The 21,014-nt window shown below is 56.4% G+C and overlaps 2 protein-coding genes across 6 annotated transcripts in view, besides 9 other annotated features; one reads left to right on the top strand and one right to left on the bottom strand.

The window, feature by feature from the left end:
• Positions 1,279-1,779: an enhancer, noted in NCBI's record as "H3K4me1 hESC enhancer chr22:41637039-41637539 (GRCh37/hg19 assembly coordinates)". NCBI's record gives its function as "activates a minimal SCP1, AML or CMV promoter by ChIP-STARR-seq in naive H9 embryonic stem cells {active_cell/tissue: H9 hESC(naive)}" and the evidence as "EXISTENCE:reporter gene assay evidence [ECO:0000049][PMID:30033119]".
• Positions 1,780-2,280: an enhancer, noted in NCBI's record as "H3K4me1 hESC enhancer chr22:41636538-41637038 (GRCh37/hg19 assembly coordinates)". NCBI's record gives its function as "activates a minimal SCP1, AML or CMV promoter by ChIP-STARR-seq in naive H9 embryonic stem cells {active_cell/tissue: H9 hESC(naive)}" and the evidence as "EXISTENCE:reporter gene assay evidence [ECO:0000049][PMID:30033119]".
• Positions 1,883-13,301, top strand: CHADL (chondroadherin like). Its single transcript, NM_138481.2, has 6 exons — positions 1,883-1,940; positions 3,194-3,371; positions 3,929-5,638; positions 6,164-6,330; positions 7,471-7,669; positions 13,084-13,301. The coding sequence occupies exons 1-6, from the start codon at positions 1,933-1,935 to the stop codon at positions 13,108-13,110; spliced, it is 2,289 nt and encodes a 762-aa protein (NP_612490.1). The 5' UTR covers positions 1,883-1,932; the 3' UTR covers positions 13,111-13,301.
• Positions 3,730-4,317: an enhancer, noted in NCBI's record as "H3K27ac-H3K4me1 hESC enhancer chr22:41634501-41635088 (GRCh37/hg19 assembly coordinates)". NCBI's record gives its function as "activates a minimal SCP1, AML or CMV promoter by ChIP-STARR-seq in naive H9 embryonic stem cells {active_cell/tissue: H9 hESC(naive)}" and the evidence as "EXISTENCE:reporter gene assay evidence [ECO:0000049][PMID:30033119]".
• Positions 4,318-4,906: an enhancer, noted in NCBI's record as "H3K27ac-H3K4me1 hESC enhancer chr22:41633912-41634500 (GRCh37/hg19 assembly coordinates)". NCBI's record gives its function as "activates a minimal SCP1, AML or CMV promoter by ChIP-STARR-seq in naive H9 embryonic stem cells {active_cell/tissue: H9 hESC(naive)}" and the evidence as "EXISTENCE:reporter gene assay evidence [ECO:0000049][PMID:30033119]".
• Positions 4,318-4,972: a biological region, named in NCBI's record as "H3K27ac-H3K4me1 hESC enhancer GRCh37_chr22:41633912-41634500".
• Positions 4,593-4,972: a silencer, noted in NCBI's record as "silent region_13782". NCBI's record gives its function as "represses an Ori minimal core promoter by ATAC-STARR-seq in GM12878 lymphoblastoid cells {active_cell/tissue: GM12878}" and the evidence as "EXISTENCE:reporter gene assay evidence [ECO:0000049][PMID:35858748]".
• Positions 4,907-5,495: an enhancer, noted in NCBI's record as "H3K27ac-H3K4me1 hESC enhancer chr22:41633323-41633911 (GRCh37/hg19 assembly coordinates)". NCBI's record gives its function as "activates a minimal SCP1, AML or CMV promoter by ChIP-STARR-seq in naive H9 embryonic stem cells {active_cell/tissue: H9 hESC(naive)}" and the evidence as "EXISTENCE:reporter gene assay evidence [ECO:0000049][PMID:30033119]".
• Positions 5,033-5,132: a silencer, noted in NCBI's record as "silent region_13781". NCBI's record gives its function as "represses an Ori minimal core promoter by ATAC-STARR-seq in GM12878 lymphoblastoid cells {active_cell/tissue: GM12878}" and the evidence as "EXISTENCE:reporter gene assay evidence [ECO:0000049][PMID:35858748]".
• Positions 5,496-6,084: an enhancer, noted in NCBI's record as "H3K27ac-H3K4me1 hESC enhancer chr22:41632734-41633322 (GRCh37/hg19 assembly coordinates)". NCBI's record gives its function as "activates a minimal SCP1, AML or CMV promoter by ChIP-STARR-seq in naive H9 embryonic stem cells {active_cell/tissue: H9 hESC(naive)}" and the evidence as "EXISTENCE:reporter gene assay evidence [ECO:0000049][PMID:30033119]".
• The window catches only part of L3MBTL2 (L3MBTL histone methyl-lysine binding protein 2), a 25,960-nt gene continuing 16,488 nt past the window's right edge, over positions 11,543-21,014 (bottom strand). For 4 of the 5 annotated variants that reach the window (NM_031488.5, XM_017028976.2, XM_047441537.1 and 1 more), the window contains 9 exons: positions 18,563-18,794; positions 18,013-18,089; positions 17,743-17,847; positions 16,873-17,020; positions 16,070-16,152; positions 15,491-15,725; positions 14,945-15,010; positions 13,158-13,274; positions 11,543-12,675 (listed from right to left, as the gene is read on the bottom strand). In NM_031488.5, coding sequence (NP_113676.2) covers positions 12,563-12,675; positions 13,158-13,274; positions 14,945-15,010; positions 15,491-15,725; positions 16,070-16,152; positions 16,873-17,020; positions 17,743-17,847; positions 18,013-18,089; positions 18,563-18,794 — 1,176 coding nt within the window. In that variant the 3' untranslated portion in view covers positions 11,543-12,562. Of the gene's footprint in view, positions 12,676-13,157; positions 13,275-14,944; positions 15,011-15,239; positions 15,296-15,490; positions 15,726-16,069; positions 16,153-16,872; positions 17,021-17,742; positions 17,848-18,012; positions 18,090-18,562; positions 18,795-21,014 lie in introns of those variants that run through there. The other variant, XM_047441536.1, reaches the window with a different exon arrangement.

Here is a 21,014-nt window from a genome sequence, read left to right as displayed (position 1 = left end):
GGAGGTCCCAGCTGCTTGGGAGGCTGGTATGTCAAGGCCGCAGTGAGCCATGATCACACTTCACTCACACCTGGGCAACAGTGAGACCCTGTCTCAAAAAAAGGACGAAAGAGCACACTGAAGTTCCATTGATTGGAATTTGCCAAGCAAAAAAAGCACAAAGCAGATGGCTGTGTGGCATGGCACTATTTCTTTTTTTAAAATGTTACTGCAGGGCTGGGCGTGGTGACTCATGCCTGTAATCCCAGCACTTTGGGAGATCAAGGCGGGCAGATCACTTGAGGTCAGGAGTTCGGGACCGGCCTGGCCAACATGGCGAAACCCCGTCTCTACTAAAAATGCAAAAATTAACCAGATGTGGTGGTACACATCTGTCATCCCAGCTACTTGGGAAGCTGAGGCAGGAGAATCGCATGAACCAGGGAGGTGGAGGTTGCAGTGAGCTCCAGCCTGGGCGATAAAGTGAGACTCTGTCTCAAAAAACAAAAAACTCCTGCAGTCTAGGAAAAGTACACACAGATGTTCATTGTTTAACATATATAAATATATATAAACATATACATTTATATTTTTATTATATATAAATATATACACACATAAGTGTATACACACACACATACATATATATATATATATATATATATATATATATATATATATATATATATATGTATATATTTTTTTTCTTTTTTGAGACAGTTTCACTCTGTTGCCCAGGCTAGAGTGCAGTGGCGCCATCTCGGCTCTCGCGTTCATGCCATTTGCCTGCCTCAGCCTCCCAAGTAGCTGGGACTACAGGCGCCTGCCACCACACCCGGCTAATTTTTTGTACTTTTAGTAGAGATAGGGTTTCACTGTGTTAGCCAGGATGGTCTTGATCTCGACCTCGTGATCCACCCGCCTCCGCCTCCCAAAGTGCTGGGATTACAGGCGTGAGCCACCGCGCCCGGCCTTTTTTTTTTCTCTTGAGACAGAGTCTGTGTTGCCCAGGCTGGTCTCAAACTCCTGGGCTCAAGTGATCCTCCCACCTCAGCCTCCCAAAGTGCTGGGATTACAGGCATGAGCCACTGTGCCTGACCCCTGTTTCCAATTAAAGGAACAAACAGTAGAAGATGCAATTCCATCAGAAGCAGGAATCTGAAAAATCAAGATACATGAACATTGGCCATGGTCTGGATGTATTATTTAAAAAACAAACACGAGCTTGGGAAGATGCGTATTTGGATATTCTTTGCAATATTGTTTGTAAATAGCAAAAAATTGGAGGTAGCCAATGTCCAAGATGAATGGCTAAGTCAATGTGATACATTTACACAATGGAATACTATATACCACAGAATAATGAGATTCGGAAGAGTCAATTTGGATAACTCCCAGTAATCTGAGGTTAAGTGAAAAAAATGAGTGTCTAGAATCCTGTGTGTCCAGTATTAAACTATTTATGTCAATGTGTAAGCACAAACGGAAGGAAAGGGTCACCTGTTCTGAAGCACCCACTGTGTGCCAGGTGCGGGCCTGAACCCCCACTGTGACCTCAGAGCTACTTATTAATGGGATGTGTTTTTCAGAGACTAGGAAGCAGCCTCTGGGAGGGCAGCCCACATGGCAGGAGGGAGCCCAGGACTGCTGACTCCCGGGCCAGCTGCTGGTGCCCCCTCCCTGTCGGGCTGGCCCAAGGATTCAGGCCGGGGCCTCAGTCCTCGGCTGGGGCAGGCAGGAGGCCCTGTAACTCCAGCCGCTGCTCCCGCCCGCCGCCCGCCCCTTCTTCACCTCAGCCTGGGGAAGCCTGGCTTGCCTGGTCTGCCGACAATGCCTCCCATTCAGCCCTGTCCCAGCTGCCAGGCCTGCGGGCCGTGGAGGGGGGCTCCTGCCAGGCGGGGACAGCCTGTCCCTGCGCTGCGCCTCCAGGCTGGACCAGCAGTTCCAGGCGGCATGGAGGGGTGAGTCTTTGGGCCCGATGGTGCAAGGGGGGATTCAGAGCAGCTCAGTGGCCTCAGGTAAGTCTCTGCCCCCTCTGGGCCTCTCAGAGGCTGGCGGGCAGGGGCTCTGGGGACTTCCTGGGGTTCTCCAGGAAGGGGGTCTCCCAAGGTGGGCTCTGAGACACGTGGCAATGTGGCCACTGCCAGGAACTGGTCCTCTGGGGCTTGTCTGAGAGCCCAGCAGTGGTCCCTGCATTATGAATGCTTGTCGCTTCAGCGATCTGTCCCCATGGGTCCCCTCCCTGGCCTGCCCTGAGGCACAGCCTTCACCACAGGCTCTGGAGAAGCCACCAACTCCAACGCAGGGGCTGGAGCCTGGGACCCAAAGGAGACTCCAAAACAGACGATAGTCCAGTGAGCAGCGAGGGGGAGGCTCCTGGGGGCCGGGGAACAGCCCAGCGATGGGGGAGAGGCCATGCCTGACACAGGCTGAGAACAGAGGGGCCAGCTGGGCAGGGGAGGTGATCTATCATCCTAGCGCTTTGGGAGGCCAAGGTGGGACAATCACTTGAGGCCAGGAGTTCAAGACCAGCCCGGGCAACATAGCGAGACCCTGTCTCTACCAGAAGTAATTAAAAAATTAGCCAGGCGTGGTGGTGTGTGCCTGTAGTCCCAGCTACTCAAGAGGCTGAGGTGAGAGGATCACTTTAGCCCAGGAGGTGAAGGCTGCAGTAAGCCATAGTCATTCCACTGCACTCCAGACTCCAGCCTGGGCAACAGAGCAAGGCTTGTCTCTATTTAAACAAACAAACAAAAAAAGACTCAAGGACCCGGACTGGATGCCTCCCTCCTTTCTGGGGGGTACCATTATGCTCCTGCCACCTGGGAGCTGGCATCATATCAGTCTGAGGACAGGCTGCTTCCGAGCCTACCCTGGACCAGAGCCTCACCACAGCCTGAGAACATGCTCTGAACTGGAGTCATTCTCACAGTCAGCAAGTCCTCACTGAGCCATTGGGCAGAGGCAAAGGGACTAACCAGGTCACTTTTCTGAGCCTCGGTTTCCTCCCATGTAAAACAGGACTAATCATAGGACCTCCACTGCGTGGGGGGTGGGGGGCAGGGAGGCTCAGGGTGATTGGCACTTTCCTGGGCCCAAAGGAGGAGGCTCTGAGGGGTTTTTGGGGCAGGAGCTGCACCATGGCTGGGACTAAGTGAGGGACAGCATGTGGCCTCGGCCCTTGTGCACAACAGACTCTCCCTCCCCGTCCCAGGCCCCGGAGCTCCACCCATGTCCCCTTGGTGCTGCCGCTTCTTGTACTTCTGCTGCTGGCCCCGGCTAGGCAGGCCGCCGCCCAGCGCTGCCCACAGGCCTGCATCTGTGACAACTCCAGGCGACACGTTGCCTGCCGGTACCAGAACCTCACTGAGGTGCCAGACGCCATCCCTGAGGTCAGCAGGGCAGGAGCACAGGCACAGAGTGGCAGTGGGGCAAGGTGGGGACCCAGAGGGAGGAGCCTGGGCTGGGCACCAGTTGATCTGCCACCGCCTGCCCGGGAGACCTTGGCAAATTACTTCTCTTTGAGCCTCAGTTTACACTTCTGTAAAATGGGAATAATAAAAACCAGTAACAGGGAGATGATCTATTTAAAATCCTTACTGTGTGAATGGAATAAGTAGGTGACCCATAGATCGATACTGAATTCACTGCAGACCCTGTGGTGGAGAGGCGGGCTGTGGCAGGGTGAGGTGTGGTCTCTGCTCTGCAGAGTCATCAGCTAGTGGAGGAGAGAGAGCGAGGAGGCAGGGACAGCACAGTGTGAAAAATGCCACAGTGGGTGATGCCCAGGGCACTGGAGAGGAAGGCTTCCTGGAGGAGGTGTCAGGGGTCGGATGAAGAGAAATATGGGAAAGGTGACAGGAGAAAAGAGTGTTCCGGGGAAGAAGCAGCACTTGCAAAGGCGGGGTCCCTGCCTGGCTCAGCCCCACTTTCTCCTCGCTGTCCCCAGCTGACCCAGCGGCTGGACCTGCAGGGCAATTTGCTGAAGGTGATCCCCGCAGCCGCCTTCCAGGGCGTGCCTCACCTCACACACCTGGACCTGCGCCACTGCGAGGTGGAGCTGGTGGCCGAGGGCGCCTTCCGTGGCCTGGGCCGCCTGCTCCTGCTCAACCTGGCCTCCAACCACCTGCGTGAGCTGCCCCAGGAGGCGCTGGACGGGCTGGGCTCGTTGCGGCGGCTGGAGCTGGAGGGGAACGCACTGGAGGAGCTGCGGCCGGGGACGTTCGGGGCACTGGGTGCGCTGGCCACGCTAAACCTGGCCCACAACGCCCTGGTTTACCTGCCCGCCATGGCCTTCCAGGGGCTACTGCGCGTCCGCTGGCTGCGGCTGTCGCACAACGCGCTCAGCGTGCTGGCCCCCGAGGCCCTGGCTGGCCTGCCCGCCCTGAGACGGCTCAGCCTACACCACAACGAGCTCCAGGCTCTGCCCGGGCCTGTCTTGTCCCAGGCCCGCGGCCTGGCCCGTCTGGAGCTGGGCCACAACCCGCTCACCTACGCGGGCGAGGAGGACGGGCTGGCGCTGCCCGGCCTGCGGGAGCTGCTGCTGGACGGCGGGGCCCTGCAGGCCCTGGGTCCCAGGGCCTTCGCACACTGTCCGCGCCTGCACACCCTCGACCTCCGCGGGAACCAGCTAGACACCCTGCCCCCGCTGCAGGGCCCGGGCCAGCTGCGCCGGCTGCGGCTGCAGGGGAATCCGCTGTGGTGCGGCTGCCAGGCGCGGCCCCTACTCGAGTGGCTGGCGCGGGCGCGCGTGCGCTCGGACGGCGCGTGCCAGGGGCCGCGGCGCCTGCGGGGCGAGGCTCTGGACGCCCTGCGGCCCTGGGACCTGCGCTGCCCTGGGGACGCGGCGCAGGAAGAGGAAGAGCTGGAAGAGCGGGCTGTGGCCGGGCCCCGCGCCCCTCCGCGCGGCCCTCCGCGCGGCCCCGGGGAGGAGCGGGCAGTCGCGCCTTGCCCTCGCGCCTGCGTGTGCGTCCCCGAGTCCCGGCACAGCAGCTGCGAGGGCTGCGGCCTGCAGGCGGTGCCCCGCGGCTTCCCCAGCGACACCCAGCTCCTGGACCTGAGGCGGAACCACTTCCCCTCGGTGCCCCGAGCGGCCTTCCCCGGCCTGGGCCACCTGGTGTCGCTGCACCTGCAGCACTGCGGCATCGCGGAGCTGGAAGCGGGCGCCCTGGCCGGGCTGGGCCGCCTGATCTACCTGTACCTCTCCGACAACCAGCTCGCAGGCCTCAGCGCTGCTGCCCTTGAAGGGGCTCCCCGCCTCGGCTACCTGTACCTAGAACGCAACCGTTTCCTGCAGGTGCCAGGGGCTGCCCTGCGCGCCCTGCCCAGCCTCTTCTCCCTGCACCTGCAGGACAACGCTGTGGACCGCCTGGCACCTGGGGACCTGGGGAGAACACGGGCCTTGCGCTGGGTCTACCTGAGTGGAAACCGCATCACCGAAGTGTCCCTTGGGGCGCTGGGCCCAGCTCGGGAGCTGGAGAAGCTGCACCTGGACAGGAATCAGCTGCGAGAGGTGCCCACTGGGGCCTTGGAGGGGCTGCCTGCCCTCCTGGAGCTGCAGCTCTCGGGCAACCCACTCAGGGCCTTGCGTGACGGAGCCTTCCAGCCTGTGGGCAGGTCGCTGCAGCACCTCTTCCTGAACAGCAGTGGCCTGGAGCAGGTGGGCACTGGGCATCTGGCGGGGTTGGTGCAGGAGGCGGCACAAGGCCACAGGCAGCGTGCATTCACTCAACAAGCATTTGCCAGCCCCTTGGTGCCAGGTCTCAGCCTGGGCACGGGGACCCTGAGATAAACCAGGACTGCCCCTACCGGTGTGAGTGACAGTCCGGGCAGAACCCAGGCCACACACGGTGCCTGCACAGGACGGTATTGCTGGAGCATAGAGGAGGGAGGAATTTGGGACCATGCAGTCATCTACTGTTTGTACATATTGAGAGCCCCCAAGAGGTTTTGCCATTATTGGGTGGTGGGGTGGACCATGAACTGGGCATCTGGGTGACTTGGACGGAGCAAGTGTTTTGACATCAGACCAGCCTGGGTTTTGACCCAGCGCTGCACTTCCTGGCTGGACCAGCTTGGGCTCTCCAGCTTCTCTTCTGCTGAGGGAAGATGGGGCTCCCTTCCAGACTTGGGGGTGGGACAGCTCTGCCAGGAGCTCACATTGGGGCCTGGCAACTCCTTGCAGATTTGTCCTGGGGCCTTTTCAGGCCTGGGGCCCGGGCTCCAGAGCCTGCACCTGCAGAAGAACCAGCTTCGGGCCCTGCCTGCCCTGCCCAGTCTCAGCCAGCTGGAGCTCATCGACCTCAGCAGCAATCCCTTCCACTGTGACTGCCAGCTGCTTCCGCTGCACAGGTGGGCACCCCCACCTAGACCTCCAGCCAAAGACCACCCAGCCACTCTCAGTCAAGCCCCTGTCATCTCCCCAGGCACACCATGTCCATGCCCATCCGAGCAGCTTGTGGGGAGGGGCGGGTCCTGTGAGAGCCAGGCATGTATAAGCCCTTTCCAGGGTTAGTTACCCTTCCTGGGGATGTTGAGGGTGGACTTCTCTGAGCCTTGATTTCATCATCCATAAAGTGGGCATGGTATCTGCTCTGCCTAGCGGGCTGGGACCTAATAGGTAGGCGAGACCACTTTACATAATTACATGAGAAAGTCACAAGAGGTCGGGGATGGTGGCTCGCGCCTATAATCCCAGCACTTTGGGAGGCCAATGCAGGCTGATCACCTGAGGTCAGGAGTTTGAGAGTAGCCTGGCCAGCATGGTGAAACTCTGCCTCTACTAAAAATACAAAAATTAGCTGGGCGTGGTAGTGGGTGCCTGTAATCCCAGCTACTTGGGAGGCTGAGGCAGGAGAATTGCTTGAACCTGGGAGGCAGAGGTTGCTGTGAGCTGAGATCGCGCCACTTCACTCCAGCCTGGGCGACAGAGTGAGACTCCATCTCAAAAAAAAATAAAAAGTCACAAGAAGCCTGGAGTCCTGCAGACCTGGGCTCCAGTCCTGGCTCTGGTATTTTACCAACTAACTCTGCAAGCCGCGTAACCTTTCCTGCCCATCTGTAAAAAGGGGGGATGTAGTATCTAACCTCATGATGGTTGTTGTAAGAATGAAATTAGCATAGATAAGTTGATTTGAACAGTGTCTGCTACGTTGTAAGCCCTCTAACTGTTTATTATTACTATTATTATCCCCTTTTTACAAAGAAGGGATCAGAGGCTTGAAGTGGCTTGTAGGTCACATAATTGGTGAGCCGCCAAGATTCTCAGCAGAGCCTGCTGTCACCTATAGGCTCCACCGCTCCCAAATTCCTGGTGGCCTCCTTGACCTCCTCAGGAAAGCTGGCAAATGCTTGTTGAGCGAATGAATGCATGCTGCCTGTGGCCTTGTGCTGCCTTCTGCACCAACCCTGCCCCACACCCAGTGCCCACCTGCTCCAGGCCACTGGAGCAGAATCAGCACAGCTAGCTCCCCAGCTCTCTTTTCTCTTCAGGTGGCTTACTGGGCTGAACCTGCGGGTGGGGGCCACCTGCGCCACCCCTCCCAATGCCCGTGGCCAGAGGGTGAAGGCTGCAGCTGCTGTCTTTGAAGACTGCCCGGGCTGGGCTGCCAGAAAGGCCAAGCGGACACCAGCCTCCAGGCCCAGTGCCAGGAGAACCCCCATCAAAGGAAGACAGTGTGGAGCAGATAAGGTTGGCCATGGGGCAGGAGGGGTGAGACCTTGGTGGGTGGTGGGCCAGGTTCCAAAGTCCCCAGGAAGCAGGAGCCTGACTTGGCTTGGTCCTGATTCATGTGGTTCCAGAGCTGGGCAATGACCCAGTTGCGTCAGTTCAATAATGTCCATCCGAGGCTGGGCGCGGTGGCTCACGCCTGTAATCCCAGCACTTCAGGAGGCCGAGGTGGGCGGATCACGAGGTCAAGAGGTCAAGACCATCTTGGCCAACATGGTGAAACCCCATCTCTACTAAAAAATACAAAAACTATGGCTGGGTGCGTTGGCTCACGCCTGTAATCCCAGCACTTTGGGAGGCCGAGGCGTGCAGATCACGAGGTCAGGAGATAGAGACCATCTGGCTAACACGGTGAAACCCTGTCTCTACTAAAAATACAAAAAAATTATCCGGCTGTGGTGGTGGGCGCTTGTAGTCCCAGCTACTTGGGAGGCTGAGGCAGGAGAATGGCGTGAGCCCAGGAGGTGGACCTTGCAGTGAGCGGAGATCTCACCACTGCACTCCAGCCTGGGCGACAGAGCAAGACTCAAAAACACTCTGTCTCAAAAAAAAAAAAATTAGCTGGGCGTGGTGGCGGGCGCCTGTAATCCCAGCTACTTGGGAGGCTGAGGTGGGAGAATCGCTTGAACCCGGGAGGCAGAGGTTGCAGTGAGCAGAGATCACGCCACTGCACCCCAGCCTGGCGACAGGGTGAGACTCCGTCTCAATAATAATAATAATAATAATAATAATAATAATAATGTCCATCCTCCCGTTCTTCCCTCCTCCCTGCCCCCACCTCTGGGCTAGACCCAGGGTGGGTTTGCAAGGAGTGACCATTTGCTCCTGCTGTGGGACAGTGGCCTTTCCTATAAGCCACACTGTGCTGGTCCAGATGTATCCCTAAAATCGGTCCTGCTGTTTCTATATTTGCTGGATCACTGTTGACTCAACCATGTCCCAGCCTGACCTAAGGGGTCTCCCTCATCCCAGGATCCCAGGGATGGGGAGAGTGGAAGTGCAGGTGCATCATTGGCTCTGCCTCCCACCACCTACTAGCCATAGGTTGGACCCCACTTGATAGTACATTCACCATCCTGACATATCTAGTCCCAGCTTGACCCCTCAGTTGTAGCAAACTCACAGCATATCAGAGAAGGGTGCACAAGATACAGGCACCCCCGTATGTAGGAACCACTGCCTGTAAGGCCACGGAGGTGTCCAAAAGGGAGAGGAAGTTCTTCCAGGGAAAGTGAGAATAGAGTGGGGCCTGGGAAGGTGGGGAGAGGGCTCTATCTCCCCTGGACCTGCATTTTGAACATCTGGGATTCCTGGGGCCATTAGTTGGTGTTTGTATTCATCCCCTAGGACTGCCACAACAAAATGCTAGGAGCTGGGTGGCTTAGAACAGCAGAGCTTCTGTAGGCTAGGGGTCAGCCGTTGAGGTGTTGGCAGGGGCGTGCTCTCTGGAACCGGTAGTGCTCTCTGGAACAGGTAGTGGAAGGGTCCCCCTTGCCTCTTCCAGCTTCTGGTGGCCCCAGGTGCTCCCTGATCTGTGGCAGCATAATCTCCATCTCTGTCCCAACCTTCACGTGATGTTGTGTATCATCATCTTCCCTCTATAATCTGTCTCTGCCCAAATTCCACCCCCCCTTTTTTTTTCTGAGATGGAGTTTTGCTCTTGTTGCCCAGGCTGGAGTGCAATGGCACAGTCTTGGCTCACTGCACCCTCTGCCTCCTGGGTTCAAGCGACTCTCCTGCCTCAGCCTCCCAAGTAGCTGAGATTACAGGTGCGTGCCACCACGCATGGCTAACTTTTGTATTTTTAGTAGAGAAGGGGTTTTACCATGTTGGTCAGGCTGGTCTCGAACTCCTGACCTCAGGTGATCCACCTGCCTCAGCCTCCCAAAGTGCTGGGATTACAGGTGTGAGCCACTGCGCCCAGCCAAATTTCCCCTTTTTATAAATATAACAGCCTATTAGATTAGGGCCCAACCTAAGGATGTCATTTTAACTTCATTACTTCTGTAAGGAATCTATTTCCAAGTAAGGTCATACTCTGAGGTACTGGGGTTAGGGATCCAGCCTTTTGGGATGGGCACAAGTCAGTCTATAAAGTGTTCCTAATTTCTGGCTGGGAGCCGGGAAGGAACTCCTGAAAAGACCCCAAGCTGAAGGTAAGCAAGTTCTGCCTTGGAAGCCAGACCCGGAACTATCGTTGATGAGAGCAATACTAATCTCAGTTGGCAGTCACGTGCGCGACTGGGAAATGGCAGCAGTGCTTTCTCCCTGCGTCAGCCCCGGGAGGCTCATGTAGAAGCGGAGCTGGGTTCAGGAGTGGAAGCTCTGATGAGTCCACTTCCAGGTCAGGGCTTTAGTTAAAAGGGAAAGACACCCCGGGTCCCCACCCCTACACACAGTATGATGGCTTTGGAATCAGGACGTCTCAGGCCATTTGACCTAGCCATCCCTTCTGATACTCCTTTCAGTATTGTGGGTTATTTTGATGAAAGTAGCAGTTTCCTCCCAGGAATACAAAGGAATTCAAGGCAGAGGGCTCTTATCTTGAGGCTCAGGCACTGGCATTGTTCCCGGCTGGAGATGCTCGCCTGCTGAAGGCACCAGGATGGACGTCTGCCAGTCTCCCTTGATGCCCGTGTCTAGTTTGGTGTCTGGCACCCAGAAGATGCTCGGGAAGGCTGAATGACTGACTCACGACTAGGTCATCTGGCAGACAAACCTGGGTTCAACCCCACTGCCATCCTTTACAGGTGTAAATTTTTTTTTTTTTTTTTGAGACAGAGTCTCGCTCTGTTGCTCAGGCTGGAGTGCAGTGGTGCAATCTCGGCTCATTGCCACCTCCGCCCCCCAGGTTCAAGTGATTCTCCTGCCTCAGCCTCCCGAGTAGCTGGGATTACAGGTGACTGCCACCACGCCCGGCTAATTTTTTGTATTTTTAGTAGAGACAGGGTTTCATCGTGTTAGCCAGGATGGTCTCGATCTCCTGACCTTGTGATCCGCCCGCCGTGGCCTCCCAAAGTGCTGGGATTACAGGCGTGAGCCACCGCGCCCGGCAACAGGTGTAAATTTAAGCAGCCAAACGACTAAACTGTACTGAGGCTTCTTTTTTCCCATCAGTACTGCACAGGGTTACTGTGAAGGTGAAATGAGCCATTTAGATACCTATTTAACCTGGCACCTGGGTAGGGGCTCTTGATACTATGGAGTTCCCTTGCATCCCTTTCCCTGCAGCAGAGGGGCTAGACTGGATGGCCATAAAGGACAAGGGAGGCAGGGCAGGTTCCTGAAGGGTCTGGATTTGGTCTCACCTGTACCAGGAGCCCCTGTGGGTCCTGAGGCAGAAGCAGGGATGAGGGGTTTGCAAATGCCTCCCTGCCAGCAGCCCCACTGCTCAGACTCCAAGAACTTGAGTTCCCTCCAAGGGCAAACTGAGGCACAAGGTTACTGCATGGATTGAGCAAAAACTCCCAAGAGATCAATACTTCTATCTCCAACAAATCAAGCTGACCTCTAGGCACCAGCAACACGTGGTCATGCGCACATTCCCATTTCACACACACAAGCCAACTTTATGCCAGCCTATGCCAGGTGCTACGCACAGGCGGACACAGGCTCCATCTCTGGGGAACTCACAGTCTTTGGGGAGAATGGCACAACCGTAAAGAATGACAGCATGTGGCTAAGACAGGGAACTTGAGCTGATGACAGGCGACATTTCTTTACGGCCCTGCACACTCGTGTCTTGACTCACGTGGCCTTCATGATCGATACCACGAGGTGGGGGGGTGGGGTCAGAACACAATCTGCAAGGAATAGAGATCTAACAAACGGGACTCAAGCAAGCAGGGGGTTTAATTTCTCACACACAGAGTCTGGGGAGCCCAGTGAGGTTGCAATGGCAGCTAGATGTGTCCTCCAGCTCTGTCATCCTTGTCTTGAGGGTTCTGTGTTCACGGCCCCTCCAGGCATGGTTTCTTCATTTAGGTAGGAACAAAAGGCCAAAAGAACATACAAGCCCAGCTCTCTAGAGGCTCCAGTCAGAACTGGACCCTTTAACTACAAAGGAATCTTGGATGAATTATTTTTAGCGGGGCTTCAGGAGCAGGTAGCAGAGCCAAAGTGCACACTCAGGCCATCTTCCTCCCAATGTCCTCCCCGGGGGCATTTCCTTTAGGAAATGGGAGTCAGTCCTCACAAACACAGAAAGCAGCTCAAGGCCACCACACAGGTCGCCAAAATCCACATCCTGGTCACTGCTTCTTAGCTGCCGAGACAAGCTGGGTCCCCAACATCCCTGGGGAGCTAGGAGGAGCAGAGGACCAACACATGAGGCTGAGAGGCATTCTGCTTGGTGAATTTTTGAGGCAGAGGCTGCCCCCACCACACAACTCACTGTCAGGGGACCTTATCCTGCTCAGAGAGCTGCTCTAGAACTTAATTTACATGGCTCGTTCAGGCAGACAGAGTTCACTGTCTTGTATTCCACAGTGTGACAGTGGTGGCCCCATCCCTGGCAACTGAGGGCCGTGGCGGGTCGGGGGGAGGCCATCTTAAGGAAGAGCAGGCAGCTAGCGTTCCAGCTTTGGGAACTCTGGCTGGAAAAGGTGGTTCACAGACGAGTTCTGGGGCCTCAGGCGGCCCGTCATATAGACCTTTCCACAGGGGAGGGCAGAAGCAACAGGCGGGTCCCAGGAGACCCCAGCAGGTCCTCCACCGTCCAGCCTTCACAGCACCGGGCAGAATTTACACAGAGAGGATCAGTCTCCAAGCCAAAGTCAGGTGGAGGCATGGTGGTGGTGGTAGAGAAACGCTGGGCTGGCTTCCAGCTAGAAGCCAGGCTGGAGGCAGGAAGGCTCAGTCGTCTGTTTCCTGCTTGATGTTCTCGACGGAGACAGGCAGCTCTGGACTTGAAGCCTTGTCGGGCGAGGCCACGTCTAGATGCTCTTCCTTCACACGCACAGCAATGACTGAAGAGGGAGGGGAGGCGGGTGGGTGGGCGAGTAAATAACTCTGGGAGGGGTGGGGGCGGAGGAGCTGGGAAAGGGACCTGGCTCCCTACAGATGGGGGCCTAGGATGCACCTTCACCCTCCAGCTTCCCTTCTGGGAGGGCAGTGGCAGCAGCAAAGGGCCAAGGCCCCAAGCCAGGCAGGCTATGCCAACGACACTGCCATGTGCCAATCTGTCACCACCCTGCCAAGCACTAGAGGTAGGGGTAGAGATGGAGGAGGAGGAGGGGCCGGGGCCGGGCTAGAGGGGGACTCAGCTCCATTCACAGTTGGGGGCGTGTCTGGGAAACACCCTGGGTCCAGTGGTACAGGACTGCTTGGTGCCCAGAAAATGCCAAAGAAACCTGACTCTACTCTTCTGTGCCCAGGTGGGGAAGGAGAAGGGTCGTCTCTGAGCACGGAGCAGGCTGGTCCTGCCTTGACCCAGCCCGGTGGCTCTTACTCTCGCCAGGAACAGGCTCCGACGAGATCTTCCTGGCACCCTGAGGGTCGTCCTCCAGCAGGGGCTTCTTGGACCCCTGTCTGAGGGGTCGCGTCTTAGTGGGCGGGATTCTTTTCCCTTTGAATAAAAATGGATTCAAACCCAGCATTAGGGTTGTATTTAGGTAAGGCTTTATGGGATAGGTCTCACCCAGTGGTCAGGCAGCGTGGCAGAGGGAAAAGTGCCAGTTTGGGGACAGAAAGCCTGGACTCCAACTCTGACAACACATCTTATTGGCTATGTGCCCTGAGCTCAGATTCTCTCCAATGGGAAGTAATACCACCACCTCCCTCAAACCAAGCCCCAGGCAGTCGTGGTTGTAACTGCTTTTTAAAATCTTTTTTTAAATAAAAAGATTTTTTGAAGAGGGTCTCACTCTGTCACCCAGGTTTGAGTACAGTGGGGTGATCACAGTTCACTGCAGCCTTGACCTCCCAGGCTCAGGTGATCCTCCTACCTTAGCCTCCTGAGTAGCTGGGACTACAGGCCTGTGCCACCATACCCAGCTAATTAAAAATTTTTTTTAAATTAGGGGTCTCGCTATGTTGCCCAGGCTGGTCTCAAACTCTTGGGCTCAAGAGATCCTCCCACCTCAGCCTCTCAAAGTGCTGGGATCACAGGTGTGAACCATCACACTCAGCCCCCGTTTTTGATTGTTGATTTCTTCCCACAACATGCACCATTCCCGGTCCTACCGTTTGAATGGTACAGAGCCTCTGCCTGCTGGATAAATGCCACACCCTCACTCAATTTTTTTTTTTTTTTTGTGCGATGGAGTTTCCCTCTTCCGCCCAGGCTGGAGTGAAGTGGAGCGATCTGGGCTCACTGCCACCTCCGGCCCCCAGGTTCAAGTGATTCTCCTGCCTCAGCCTCCCAAGTAGCTGGGATTACAGGCGCCTGCCACCACACCTGGCTAATTTTTGTATTTTTAGTAGAGACGGGGTTTCGCCATGTTGGTCAGGCTGGTCTTGGAACTTCTGACCTCATGATCCGCCCACCTCGGCCTCCCAAAGTGATGGGATTACAGGTGTGAGCCACCGCGCCTGGCCGCCTCACTCAATCTTAACCCTGCCCAAGGGACCTTGTTTCTGTTTCAGAACATCCTCTTCCCCACATGGTACCACACTGTGGAGCCCACCTCGCTGTCATAGGCCTGCGGCTCTGAAGGATGGCTTTGCCCGCTCCCGCTCTGCCCCTCAAGTGGAACCCAAGCTGGGCTCAGAATCTGTAGAGTGAGGCCCCACCAAGGGAAACGACACCCACGGCCTGAGAGCCAGGTGGAGTCCTGCCACTCAGCTGCCTGCCTTTGCTCCCACCCTCTCCCACCCTCAAAGAGGTCTCGAGGTAAGAATGACAGCCTTGGAGAGACAGCTTCTATTTCTTCCTGTGGCTTTTCCTTTAGAACCTAGCAGCTGCGGCTTGCCCAGGCCAGGCTGTTTTTTTCTGAACATGGGGCATCAGGGATGGGATCCCCCAACCTCAATCTCTTACCTCTTTTCCTCAGCACCCTGACCATGGCCAGAGACTGAACACTCCCTATTTATGGTCTGGGTCCCCAGAGACAGGGTGAAAGGCCCGTAGGCCAAAGGGCAAGGGGAAAGAGACAGGACAGGAACACGAAGAGAGCTACGTCAGTAGGACAGCACCTGGGAACCAGTGCCTGGGGGCTGACCCCCGCCTGCTCCCAGGGACGCAGGCCCACTGCTCCCAGGCCCACACCAGCCTGGCTGCACCGGTGCAGCACTTACTTTTCTTCCCAAACTGTTTCTTTTTCTTCTTTGTGGCCTCTTTGGCCTTCAGCGGTGTGGCCGGTTCTGTTGTTGAAAGACAAGGGTGAAAGAGATGAGAAGAGGGTCCCTGGGAGGACACAGGGCACAGGCGCATCCCGAGACCCCATCCACCCTCCCACACGAGACACCCCAAGACAGGAAGCCAAACCTGGGCAATGAGGAGAGGGCGGGGCTGGAGGAGGGGCCGGAGAACAGCTGTCCCTTCTTCCCACCCTTGTTACCAGGGCTGCTCAGAGGGACCTGGGTAGTTTACCTGGGTGCACAAGGGCACGAACATATGACAGAGTGGGCAAGATGAAGGAAGGAGCTCTGCAGGCCAGAGGGAAAGGGAGACAGAGAAGTCAGGAGCAGGGGCTGGGTGACGGGGCTCACTCTCTACTTAAAGTGGTCCATGAGACATCTCCACCTCATGCCAAAGAACGGAGATGGGCACAGGGGCGGGGGAAGAAGGAAAAAAGAAGAGGAAAGAAAGTCAGAGCCTCTTAGGGCCACGAGAGCCCACACCTGCGGCCACAGGAGGCTGGAGCTGGTAGCCGGTGAGCTCACACCAGCCGACGGGGTAGATGTCTGGGGACTCGCAGTCCACCCACTGGTCGTACTCGCTGTCCCAGCCGTCAAAGTGGATGCTGAGGAGCCGATGCACCACTCGTTTCACCGTGGCCACACAGATGAGCCGGGGCTCCATCAGGTCCACGGCCTCCAGCTTCATGCCCACCTTGAAGCCATGGTTTGGGCAATCCTGGGGCAGAAAAAGGAGGCAGTGGCCAAGCCAGTCAGCTCCCTACCCCAGCAGGCTTGCCCCGGCCCGGAGGCACTTGAAGAACTGGCAGGGAGGGGCGGGGACTGGAATGGCTGCTGGGGCAGCTTCCTCTAGACAATAACCCACTGCACCTCTCCCAGTACCGCCCTCCATGGAAGAGGGACTGGAGTGCCCAGGCCATAGCTGGGGACTTCCCCCTGAAAGTGGCTGATGTCAGCAGTAGAGATTCGAGAGAAAGAGTAGGAACTGCCACCACTGACAGCAGCAGGCAGGGCCTGTCCTGAGGCCACCGCAGGCCCCTTGCTCCACTTCAGTCTCCTCACCATGTTAAAGAGTCTCGATGGAGCGGCTTTCGACTTGGTCTTCTCCAAGTAGTTCTCCCAGTTGAAAGTCTGTGCCTCATAACCTGGAGGAGCAGAAAGCTCAGATGCAGAGGGAGAGGGGGAAGCAGGAAGTGGGCAGGAGGAAAGGACACATGGCTGAAGAAGCTCTGCAGCTTGGTCAGGACCCAGCATGGAGTCTCCCCAGCAGCCTTCTTCTCATCCCCTCAGGGTAGTACCTGCTCTAGCACCACAGTCCTGTTGTATAGGTTGTTCACTGACCAATGGGATAAGTGGGAGCTCTGTTCATCAACCATACACTGGCCATGGGGTAGGGTCAGCCCAGCAGTTAAGGGCTGGTGGTGGGCTCTGTCACCTTTCCCATACACCCTGAAATGCTACACTTCTGGGGCCTGACTTGACCAGGAATCTGGGCTTGTGGCCACACCCTGCCCCTTCTGTTTTGTTTTGAAGACAGAGTCTTGCTCTGTCGCCCAGGCTGGAGTGCAATGGCATGATCTCGGCTCACTGTAACCTCCACCTCCTGGGTTCAAGCAATTCTCCTGCCTCAGACTCCCGAGTGGCTGGGATTATAGGCACCTGTCACCATGCCTGGCTAATTTTTGTATTTTTAGTAGAGACGAGGTTTTGTCATGTTGGCCAGGCTGGTCTCAAACTCCTGACCTCAGGTCATCCACCTGCCTCGGCCTCCCAAAGTGCTAGGATTACAGGCGGGAGCCACCGCGCCTGGACACCCTGCCCCTTCTGATGGCAAGGACAGCAGGTGGTGGCCTCTCTAGTCTTACCTTTTGGCGGTGTGAGCTCAATGTCATTCTTCTGACAGAAGGTGGCCGGGAAGATGGCGTGGGAAGAGGCATGGTAGCAGAACCAGTCCAAGCCATCTGTGGAGGGCCCCCCGTCCACACAGATCATCAGGTATCCATCCAGGAGAACCTGGGGGGTGGGGGGAGCAGGCAGACAGATCATATCATGAACTGCACCCCATCCTGGGTTGGTACCGCACCCCAATAGGGACACGAGGCAAATGGATCCAAACGGATCTAGGGCATGGCCCTCCTGGAGGACACCTGAGCCTCTCTGGGGCACACAGTACTTCTGTGATGCATACGCGTGGGATTCTTTCTCTTCCCCACTAGACAGCAAACACCACGCCAGCAGGGGCCGCGTCCATCCTGTTGGACCGTGTTCTTGGGTGAGCACACGCGCCCGGCATGGAGCGGATCCGCGGCGAGGACGAGTCAGCAGCCTCCTCCAGGAGGGCCAAGGAGGGGTGGGGGTGCTGCTCAGGAGGAGGCGATGAGGTTTGGAGCAAGGTGACCCCAGCTGTGGCTCTTGCCTAGGCCAGCGCTCAAAGGAGATGGCACACAGCAAGAAGGCCCCAGTGAGGTGACAGGGAGGGGCCTACTCTGACACAGGACCAGGCTCAGGTGTTGAATAAGCACTCGTCCAGGGAGCCTTGGACCCTGACACGAAAGCAGATTCTGAGCAAGGGGCAGGCCAGGCCCCACTCACAAAAGTCAGGGACTCTGGGTGCAGCCAGTGATGAGAGGCTGGGACACAGACCCCCTGACGGTGGCGAGTGGGGTTAGAGCTCTGGGCCACATGGGTCCCCCCGCTCAGAAATCTGGAGGCTGGAGAGCCGGCCCCTGGCTCACCTTACAGACAGTTGCCACGCAGATGTTGCCCAGATTCAGGGGGTCAATGGCCTCCAGCTTCATCCCTTCCTCAAACCAACCGCCTTCTGTGTAGACTGCTCGTACCTTAAAGGAATGGGACAGCTGGGGACTCCCTGGGCAGGCCAGGAGGAAGGGTGAGGGAAGCAGGCCTCAGGAGGGAAAGGGATGGTCCCAGGGGAAGAGCCAGGTCCCTCAGGCCCGGAATGGACCCATGGCTGAGGGGAAAAGCGCCCAAGAGCTGAACCTCACCTTCTTGAAGAGGTAAGGAACGGCATCACAGTAGATCTTCCGGAAGGTGGGGTGATGGGCCATGTCACTTCGCCTCTCTTTGGAGGAGATGGATAGGGAATGAGGGAGAGAAGGGAGTTGGAGGCGGCTCCTGGGCCATCTCCACACGCCTCCCCTGGGAATGTGGGGCTGCTCTGCACGTGTTCTCAGCTGTATCTCTGTATCTCAGGACCCCCCACCCCAGAGTAGCAGACAGAAAGGTTGAGTCCAGAAAACATCAAGAGCTCTCTGTAGGGACTCTTCAGCCCTCGAAACCCAGACTGCTCCCGCATTGACAGGGGAGAGGATCGGGGCTGGTAGCATCTGGGTTCAAATCTTGATTTTACCACTCACAAGTTGAGTGGAGTGACTTTTGTCAAGTTACTCAAGCTCTCTGGAGCTCAGTATCATCACTGCAGGGGGGCCATGCCAACCTCCACCTGCTGACCTGCTGTGACGAGTAGGAAGGTGCTCCCACTCCGTCCCTGGGGAAGCACAGCATGCAGTCCCTCTGGCCTGGGGCTCTGCTAACCTGACATCTTGATGCCGTGGCCCACACGTCGTGACCAACCCACTGGGTGGATCAGGGGGCTCCACATGTGGCACCAGAAGTCGTCGTCACTGTCACCATCCTCGTAGAGGAGCCGTAGGCGACCCCCGATTACTGTGTCCACCACAGCCATGCGAGTGCGTGACACCTGGGACTTGTCCACCACTTCCAGCCGCATGCCCTGCCTAAAGGGGTACTTCATGCTCTCCACCATCTGAAACGACGTCAGAACACAGGCCTGCTATGGCTCAGGGCTCTTCCCACCCACCCTCCTGCTCTGGTGAGTGGAGGACAGGGAAGGTGTGGTGTTATCCCCCACACTCAGTCAGTCGGGAGGTGGCAGATGAGACTGCCTGCGCTGCCAGGCTCACCTTGGCCCTGACTCCCTAGGAGGACACAGAGGGAGGCAACAGCTCTCCCTAGGAGGACACAGAGGGAAGGCACACGGCTTGCAGTGGGCATGCCACTTCTTGCCACCAAAACGCCAATGAGTTGATGCAAATCACAAAACGCACTTTAGACTAAGGAAAAGTGACCCAGAGGTCACGCCTGCCCAGAATTACACAGACTCATTTGTGCCAGAGCTGGGCCTGGAAGCTGGTGTGCAGCCTGTGCTCCTCATGGGCTCTGCACTCTGATCCCCAGGCATCCTGCCCTCCCCGCCCCCTCCCAGCCCTCTGCCTGTGGCACATACAAGACTCATGTCCAGAGAACTGAGTCTTCCTGTGTCCCTTTCTGACCCTGATGGGCTGCAGCTCTGCAGTGCTTTCACAGTGCCTTGGTAGCAACTGACCTAATGAGGGATGGTGACCAAGATGCCCTCGAGCTGCTCTACAGAGAGCCATGGTGCTGGGGTACAGAGGAGGAGGTTCTTTTTGTTCACTGTGACTTCAGTGCTGTCCTGCCTGGGGCAGGGAACAGGTAGGGTGTAGGGCTTTTCCAGCCCCAGGGCACTGCTGGGTCAGGAAGAACCAGCCTAGACTAGACTAAGCAGTGCTATTTCCAAACACACCAGGAAGGAAAGCGTCTCAGAGGTCACAAAGCAGCCAACAGGCAAAGCTGACACAGGGGTCCTAAACCAGACAGACCCTCTGGCCCAGCTCAAGGGCTTGGGATACGTCCTGACACCAATTGCCTGTCCCACATCCGGTATCCCAGCAGCTCACTCAGGAGAGTGAGAGAAAACACAGGGTAAGGCCTGGCTCGGGGCCCCTCTGGGCTGCCTTCCCTGCCATGTTCTCTTCATCTACAGCCAACACAGTGCAGCCCACAATCCAACGCCATTTTTGTTAGTTTTTGTTTTTTTTTTTGAAATGGAGTCTCCTCGCTCTGTGGCCCAGACTGAAGTGCAGTGGCACGATCTCAGCTCACTGCAACTTCGGCCTCCCGGTTTCAAGCGATTCTCTCACCTCAGCCTCCTGAGTTAGCTGGGATTACAGGCGCATGCCACCACACCCAGCTAATTTTTGTATTTCTAGTAAAGACAGGGTTTCATCATGTTGGCCAGGCTAGTCTGGAACTCCTGCCCTCAGGTGATCTTCTGACCTCGGCCTCCCAAAGTGCTGGGATTACAGGAGTAAGCCACTGTGCCGTGCCTAGCTAATGTTTTTTTTTTTTTTCAAGAGACGAAGTCTCACAGTGTTGCCCAAGCTGGTTTCAGACTCCTGGCCTCAAGTGATCCTCTTGCCTTGGCCTCCCAAAGTGCTGAGACACTGAGACAGGTATGAGTCACTTTTACCATGTATATATGTGACTTTTTAATTTTTACTAAATCATTTCTTAAAATTAAATGCCACAAAGATGATTCTGTGCCACACAGGAGTCCTACACCAGACAGAATCAGACAGCCCAGAGGCGCCCCAGACTGGGCTTTACCCTGTGCTGTGCCAGGCACATCCCTGGCTCAGAACCGAGGCTATATTACAATTACTTGTGTGCATGGCTTTTGTTTCCTCTGCCAGACTAGAGATTTCTGGATGGCAGGGTCTGTATTCTTTGTATTCCCACAGTGCCTTGTAAACAAGTATGTAAGGCTGGGCATGGTGGCTCATGCCTATAATCCCAGCACTTTGGGAGGCCGAGGCAGGTGGATCACTTGAGGTCAGGAGTTCGAGACCAGCCTGGCCAATATGGTGAAACCCCATCTCTACTAAAAATACAAAAATTAGCCAAGTATGGTGGTGTGTGCGCACCTGTAATCCCAACTACTCGGGAGGCTGAGGCAGAAGAATTGCTTGAACCCAGGAAGCGGAGGTTGCAATGAGCCAAGATTATGCCACTGCACTCCAGCCTGGGCAACAGAGCGAGACTCTATCTCAAAAAGAAAAAAAAGGCTGGGCGCGGTGGCTCATGCCTGTAATCCCAGCACTTTGGGAGGCCGAGGCAGATGGATCACGAGGTCAGGAGATTGAGACCATCCTGGCTACCACGGTGA

This window comes from Homo sapiens, chromosome 22 (assembly GCF_000001405.40).
Source record: "Homo sapiens chromosome 22, GRCh38.p14 Primary Assembly".
Classification (NCBI taxonomy): Eukaryota; Metazoa; Chordata; class Mammalia; order Primates; family Hominidae; genus Homo; species Homo sapiens.
Note: the sequence above shows the minus strand (reverse complement) of the source record. Positions and strands in the feature narration are given on the sequence as shown.

Excerpts from the sequence above, each read along its gene's own strand:
- CHADL (NM_138481.2), top strand. Across the intron at positions 5,639-6,163 it reads ACAGCAGTGGCCTGGAGCAG|ATTTGTCCTGGGGCCTTTTC; the intron begins GTGGGCACTGGG and ends AACTCCTTGCAG. Across the intron at positions 6,331-7,470 it reads CAGCTGCTTCCGCTGCACAG|GTGGCTTACTGGGCTGAACC; the intron begins GTGGGCACCCCC and ends TTTTCTCTTCAG.